Source organism: Homo sapiens, chromosome 9 (genome assembly GCF_000001405.40).
Source record: "Homo sapiens chromosome 9, GRCh38.p14 Primary Assembly".
Taxonomy (NCBI): domain Eukaryota; kingdom Metazoa; phylum Chordata; class Mammalia; order Primates; family Hominidae; genus Homo; species Homo sapiens.
In genome coordinates, this window is record NC_000009.12 from 19,128,537 (window position 1) to 19,135,217 (window position 6,681).

Here is a 6,681-nt window from a genome sequence, read left to right on the forward strand (position 1 = left end):
CTGAGACCCTGTCTAAAAAAAAAAAAAGAAAAGAAAAAAGAAAAAGAAAACAAAAAACTTAACTCCAGATCACTCCAGAATGACAGCTGCCTAGGGTTATGTGACATAGGCAACTTTATACGTGCAGGGTTATGCATTGTTTTTCAAAGACAACTTAAAACGTCATCTGAGTCCCAGTTGTGTTTTTTTGTTGTTGTTGTTTTGTTTGTTTGTTTCTTGTGTAAAACGCACAGATTTGGAACGAGATTATTTGAGCAGACAAGTTGCGCCAGCGCCCGAGGCCAGATAGGGCTCGTGGGACTTCTTCCCCCGTGAGTGGCGGGGGATTTCCAGATGAAGCTGTCCGGCCTCGGCCCCCACTCCCCCCCCCCGGCCCCCGACACAGCTCGCAGGGAGGATACAGCAGAGAGGAGGGTTGGGAGGTGGGAAGGGAGCAGGCGCTGGCGCCGCGGGTCCGCCCCCTGAGAGGCCCACAGCGTTGGAGTCCCTGGCTCCAGCCAGGAGGGACTGGCTTTGTGAAGCTTTGGAGTTGTAACTGTAGGAAGCTCTCAGAGACTTTTACCCCAATTTGTTTTCATTTTCTGTTGTTGTTGTTGTTGTTGTTGTTTTTTGAGACGGAGTCTCGCTCTGTCGCCAGGCTGGAGTGCAGTGGCGCGATCTTGGCTCACTGCAACCCCAGCCTCCCGGGTTCAAGTGATTCTCTTGCCTCAGCCTCCCGAGTAGCTGGGACTACAAGCGCGGGCCACCACGCCCAGCTAATTTTTGTATTTTTAGTAGAGACGGGGTTTCACCATGTTGGCCAGGATGGTCTCGATCGCTTGACCTCGTGATCCGCCCGCCTTGGCCTCCCAAAGTGCTGGGATTACAGGCGTGAGCCACCGCACTCGGTCTAACCCAGTTTCTTAACCAATCTTGCATGCACACAGATACTGTTGATCATATTTAAAGCTCCAAACGGACCCATTAAAATGGTATCCCTTATCCCATTATACCTGAATATATAATAGTACTTACTTAGCAAGAAAAATTAAAGTATTTTTACCCCTCCTCCCCACATGTAATTCAAAATAAAATACTAAGCCATAAATACTGAACCATAAAATGTTATGAAGTCCAAAAATGTTCTGGTTTGGGTTTTTTCCTATGTTGCCATCTTCAGTGTTTTAAGTAATTAAATTATTATGTTTTTCTTTTCTTTTTCGTGTTCCGGCGCTGTTTGTTCCCTAAGCAAATGTTTGCTCTGCTTATTGATAATCCATCCCTGCTCTAATGACCTCTTACTTTGCATCAGAAGACTCTCGCCCTTTCACCTACAAAATGCCTCCATCTTTTCCTTTTTTGTTTTAAACCTGTGAGTCATTTCCTCACTTAAGGCTGAGCAAGCTTCTTTTTGCTTTTATTTGCCTGTGAAGCAGAGGGCCCCAGGGAATAATTTTGGGAACAAGAGACTCTTCAAGCCCACAAAGGATGAAGCACATCAAATTCTGCATCCCCAACTGTTTTTCAGCTTCGTGAGTCTGAGAACATGAAACCAGTGGCAAGAATAACACCCAAGGTGAGATGTGTAGTGAAGGAAACCAAAAAATTTTACCCCAAAATATACTTCTTTCACATATTTTGAGATATGGCTGTTCAGAGGACCTGCAGGCGGAAGTAGTCCTACGAAGCTGTTTGGTGTGTGTGTGTGTGTGTGTGTGTGTGTGTGTGTGTGTGTGTGTGTGTGTGAGAGAGGCTTGCAATATACAGAGAAAATCTGCATTGATGCAGCCAGGTGCTCTCTGAGGTTTTCCCTCGTCCAGATATAGGAAAGGTTAATGGACAGTCTGACACCTTTAAAGGTCTGAAAGAAACATCAACCATCTATTCTTTCCAATGGCTACTACCTGTGAGGTTTCATCTACATGAGCGGTCCCCAACCTTTTTGGCACCAGGGATAGGTTTCATGGAAGACAATTTTTCCATGGACCAGGGCAGGGGGATGGTTTTCAGGATGAAACTGTTCCACCTTAAATCATCGGCATTAGATTCTCATAAGGAGCCGCAACCTAGATCCCTTGCATGTGCAGTTCACAGCGGCGTTCTTGCTCCTAAGAGAACCTAATACCAGCTGCTGACCTGACAAGAGGCAGAGCTCAGGCGGTATTGCTCACTCACCCGCCACTCACCTCTTGCTGTGCGGCCCTATTCCTAACAGGAATGTAAATGGCCACAGTGTAAATGGCCCAAAGTTTGGGGACCCCAATCTACATAATGAAATGACTTTTGCTAGCCAAGTTTCCATTTCTGTCTTGCCACTAAATCCTGATTTACCACCATTCTCTGAGCCCCCAAACTTTCTGTAACCTCAGGAGGGGTATATAAGCTTCTGAGCCCACTGAGAGGTGGAGTAATTACTCTGTGGTTCCCCCACATGCCCAATAATACATTTACGTCTTTTTATAATAATACATGTATATCTTTTGACCTGTTAATTTGCTTTCCGCCAGTTGATTTTTCAGTGAACCTCCAGAGGACAAAGGAGACGTTTTTCCTTGGCCCCTGCAGTAGGTTGCCATTAGATAGGGTGTGTACAGTGTGGCAGTCCTGGGGAGTGGCAGGACATTACCAAGGATTTGGCCAACCTGAGATTCCTGGAGGTTTTCAGGGTTTTGTTTGGTTCCCTCCAGGATTCGATTTACCGTCATTCAGCATCTGGCTCCTGTCTCTTTCTCACCAGCTTCTTCTCCGGACTTTACCTGTGTGAAAGGAAAATAAATCTTGGGACCCCAAAATCACTGAACCAAAGGGAAAAGTCAAGCTGGGGACTGTGTCACACAAACCTCCTATTCAAAGATAAGCTACATAAGCCAGGCGCAGTGGTTCATGCCTGTAATCTCAGCCCTTTGGGAGGCTGAGGCAGGCGATCACTTGAACCCAGGAGTTTGAGACCAGCCTGGGCAACATGGTGAAATCCCGTCTCTACAGAAAATACAAAAGTTAGCCGGGTGTGGTGGCATGCGCCTGTAGTCCTACTTGCTGGGCTGAGGTGGAAGGATCATTTGAGCCTGGGTGGTCAAGGCTGCAGTTGGGGACCGCTATAATGGAGACACTGCACTCCAGCCTGGATAACAGAGTGAGACTCTGTCTCAAAAGAAAACAAAACAAAAAAGCTACATACCTCCCTCATAATTTGCCCACTAGGAAATTCCTTGTGGGCCCCAAGATCTTTACCCTAAAAAGTTCTGTTGAATTTCATCCTCACAATGTAAATTGATAGCTTATATTCACAGATGTGGGACATAGGACAGAACACAATAGCATCCCTCTGCTCACCTGAGACAAATTAATATTTGATTGCTCCCTCTGGCCTATGTTTATTTTATCTTATTTAAAAATGCAGATTCACTGAGCTAGATGAATGCGTGACTATTCCTCTACCCCCCCATCTCACATGTCAATGGCTAATCAAAGACTCAAAGGAATGCAACCATTTGCCTCTTACTGGCCCACACCCCTTAACAATTTCTCCTCTCCCCAGTATCCACTCCTTTCCCCTTTAGATATTGAAACCCTCAAAATCATCTTTGGAGAAAGGCACAGACCTGTCTCCCATGTGTGTGTCCTTACCCTTGGCAAAATAAACTTCTAAATTGATTGAGTCCTGTCTCAGATACTTTGTGTTGCACCTATCTTAAACTTTAAGCTCTAGTCACACAGATTTACTTACAGTCCTTTGAACACATCCTATTATAGGATTCCTGTATGTCATTGCTCATGCTGTCTCCACCTTGTTCACTGGGAATTTATCCTTCAAATTCCCACCTGAGGGTGGTGGACAGATGCCACCACCCCCAGGAAGACCTCCCGACTACCTTAGATGGAATCTATCACTCAGACATCTTTGCACCTCTGTACTTTGTACATTTATGCTTGCCTTTTTTTTTTTTTTTTTTTTTTTTTTTTGAGACGGAGTCTTCACTCTGGAGTGCAGTGGCACGATCTGGGCTCACTGCAAGCTCCGCCTCCCGGGTTCACGCCATTCTCCTGCCTCAGCGTCCCGAGTAGCTGGGACTACAGGTGCCCACCACCATGCCCGGCTAATTTTTTTGTATTTTTTAGTAGAGACGGGGTTTCACCGTGTTAGCCAGGATGGTTTCAACCTCCTGACCTCGTGATCCGCCTGCCTCAGCCTCCCAAAGTGCTGGAATTACAGGTGTGACCCACCGCACCCGGCCTATGCTTGCCTTTATCACACAATATTATTTATGTGTTCATACATTCTTTTTCCTTGAGGTCAAAAAACTTTTTTTCTTTTTGTAACCTCTAGTTAACATATAATAATGCCCGCACTGAGCAGGTGTTCACTAAGGTGTTGAATAAATAGTTGAAACTGTTTCAGCTTGTGAGTGCCCAATAATTTTTTTATAAATATTTCCTATTTTTTATTTGTTCTTTTCTTTCTTTCTTTCTTTTTTATTTATTTTGTGTTAGAGATGTGGTCTCACTATGTTGCCCAGGCTGGTCTTGAACTCCTGGCCTCAAGCAATCCTGCCTCAGCCTCCCAAAGGGCTGGGATTATAGGCATGAGCCACGGTGCCTGGCCCCAACTTATTATTTCTTAGAAGTCACTCTTAATAAAATTATCGTGGATTATCAGGTTAACCAGTACTCATAACTGACCTATATAAATGCTTTGCAGCAGTGGTTCTCAAAGTGGGGGTCCTGGGTCAATAGCATTAGCATCACGTGGGAACTTAGAAATGCAAATTCTCAGGCCTCACCCCAAACCTAGTAAATCAGAAATTCTGTGTGTGGGCCCTGCAATCTGTGTTTTGATAATTCCTTCAAGTGATTCTTATAATTTCTAAAGTTTGAAAGCTACTGTTTTACAAATGTGTTTTCTCATGGTGGTCTGGAAACTATCAGAATCACCGAAGATGTTTGTCAAACGTTATGCCTCCTCCCCCAGACCTACTGAGTCAAGATCTATGAGGGGTGGGGCCCAGAAGCCTGCATTTGTGACGATAGGTGCCACCACTTTACTCTTCACAAAGCACTTTCCCATGTCGCTCATATTTGAGCCTCACAACAGCCTGGAAACTTGATGGAGTGGGGTTATTACTCCCATCTTAACAGTAAAGAAACAGTCTCAGATAAGTTATATGATCTGGCTATAGTTTTATGACTAAGCAGCAAGCTAGGCAAAATTAGATCCCAGGGGCATGACCTGGGCTAGTTACCTAATTTCTTTTTGTCTTAGTTTCCTCATATGTAAAGTGGAGATAATAATAGCTCTTCATGTTTTACGTAAAGGTTTTATAAGGCTGAGTGCGGTTGCTCACAACTATATCCCAGCTCTTTAGGAAGCTGAAGCAGGAGGGTTGCTTGAGCCCAGGAGTTCAAGACCAACCCAGGCAACATAGGGAGACCCCATTTCTACAAAAAAAATACAAAAGTTAGCCAGGAATGTTGGCGTGTGCCTATAGTCCCAGCTACTAAGGAGGCTTACGCAGGAGGATCACTTGATCCCAGGAGGTAGAGGCTGCAATGAGCCATGATGGCGCCACTGCACTCCAGCATGGGCAGCAGAATAAGAAGGCCTCAAAAACAAAACAAAACAAAAAACAGTTATATGAGTGTTCATTGTACTGGTCTTTCAGCTTTTCTGTGGGTTTAGAAAACTGTTTCAAAATGAAAAGTTTAGGTTGTTATACAGTGATAAGAGAGAATGAAGAGACCCATAACTAACCACATATATGCAATGTAATGTAAATGAAATGAAAGCAGTTACCTACAGGTTCATACCATACAAAAACAAAGTAAGCTCTGCTGTAAAAAGTAAGGATGGTAGTTGTTCTGCAGGGAGTTGGGGGTGGGAAGACTAGTGACTGCTAGGGGCCTTTTGGTGCTGGTAACTTTTTATGTCTTATTCTGGAAGCTAGTTACATACATGTGTATGCTCTTTTGTGAAAATTCATCAAGCTGTACACTTATGACATATATGTTTTTGTATGGATCTTACACTTCCAATAAAAAGTTGTGAGCTGAGAATGGTGGCCGATGCCTATAATCCCCGCATTTTGGGAGGCCGAGGCAGGAGGATTGCTTGAGACTAGGAGTTCAAGACCAGCCTGCATAACACAACGAGACCCTATCTTTATTAAAAAAAAAAATTTTTTGGGGGGGGACAGTTTTGCTCTGTTGCCCAGGCTGGAGTGCAATGGCGCAATCTCGACTCACTGCAACCTCTGCCTCCCGGGTTCAAGCAATTCTCCTGCCTCAGCCTCCCGAGTAGCTGGGATTACAGTCATGTGCCATCATGCCTGGCTAATTTTTTTTTTTTTGAGATGGAGTCGCACTCTGTTGCCCAGGCTGGAGTGCAGTGGCATGATCTCAGCTCACTGCAACCTCCACCTCCTGGGTTCAAGCGATTCTCCTGCCTCAGCCTCCCGAGTAGCTGGGATTACAGGTGCCCACCACCACGCCCGGCTAATTTTTGCATTTTGAGTAGAGACGGCGTTTCACCATGTTGGCCAGGCTGGTCTCGAACTCCTGACCTCAGGTGATCCACCTGCCTCGGCCTCCCAAAGTGTTGGATTACAGGCGTGAGTCACTGTGCCTGGCTAAAACAATTTTTTTTTTTTTAAGATTGGGTCTCACTCTGTCGCCCAGGCTGGAGTGCAGTGGGGTGATCTCTGCTCA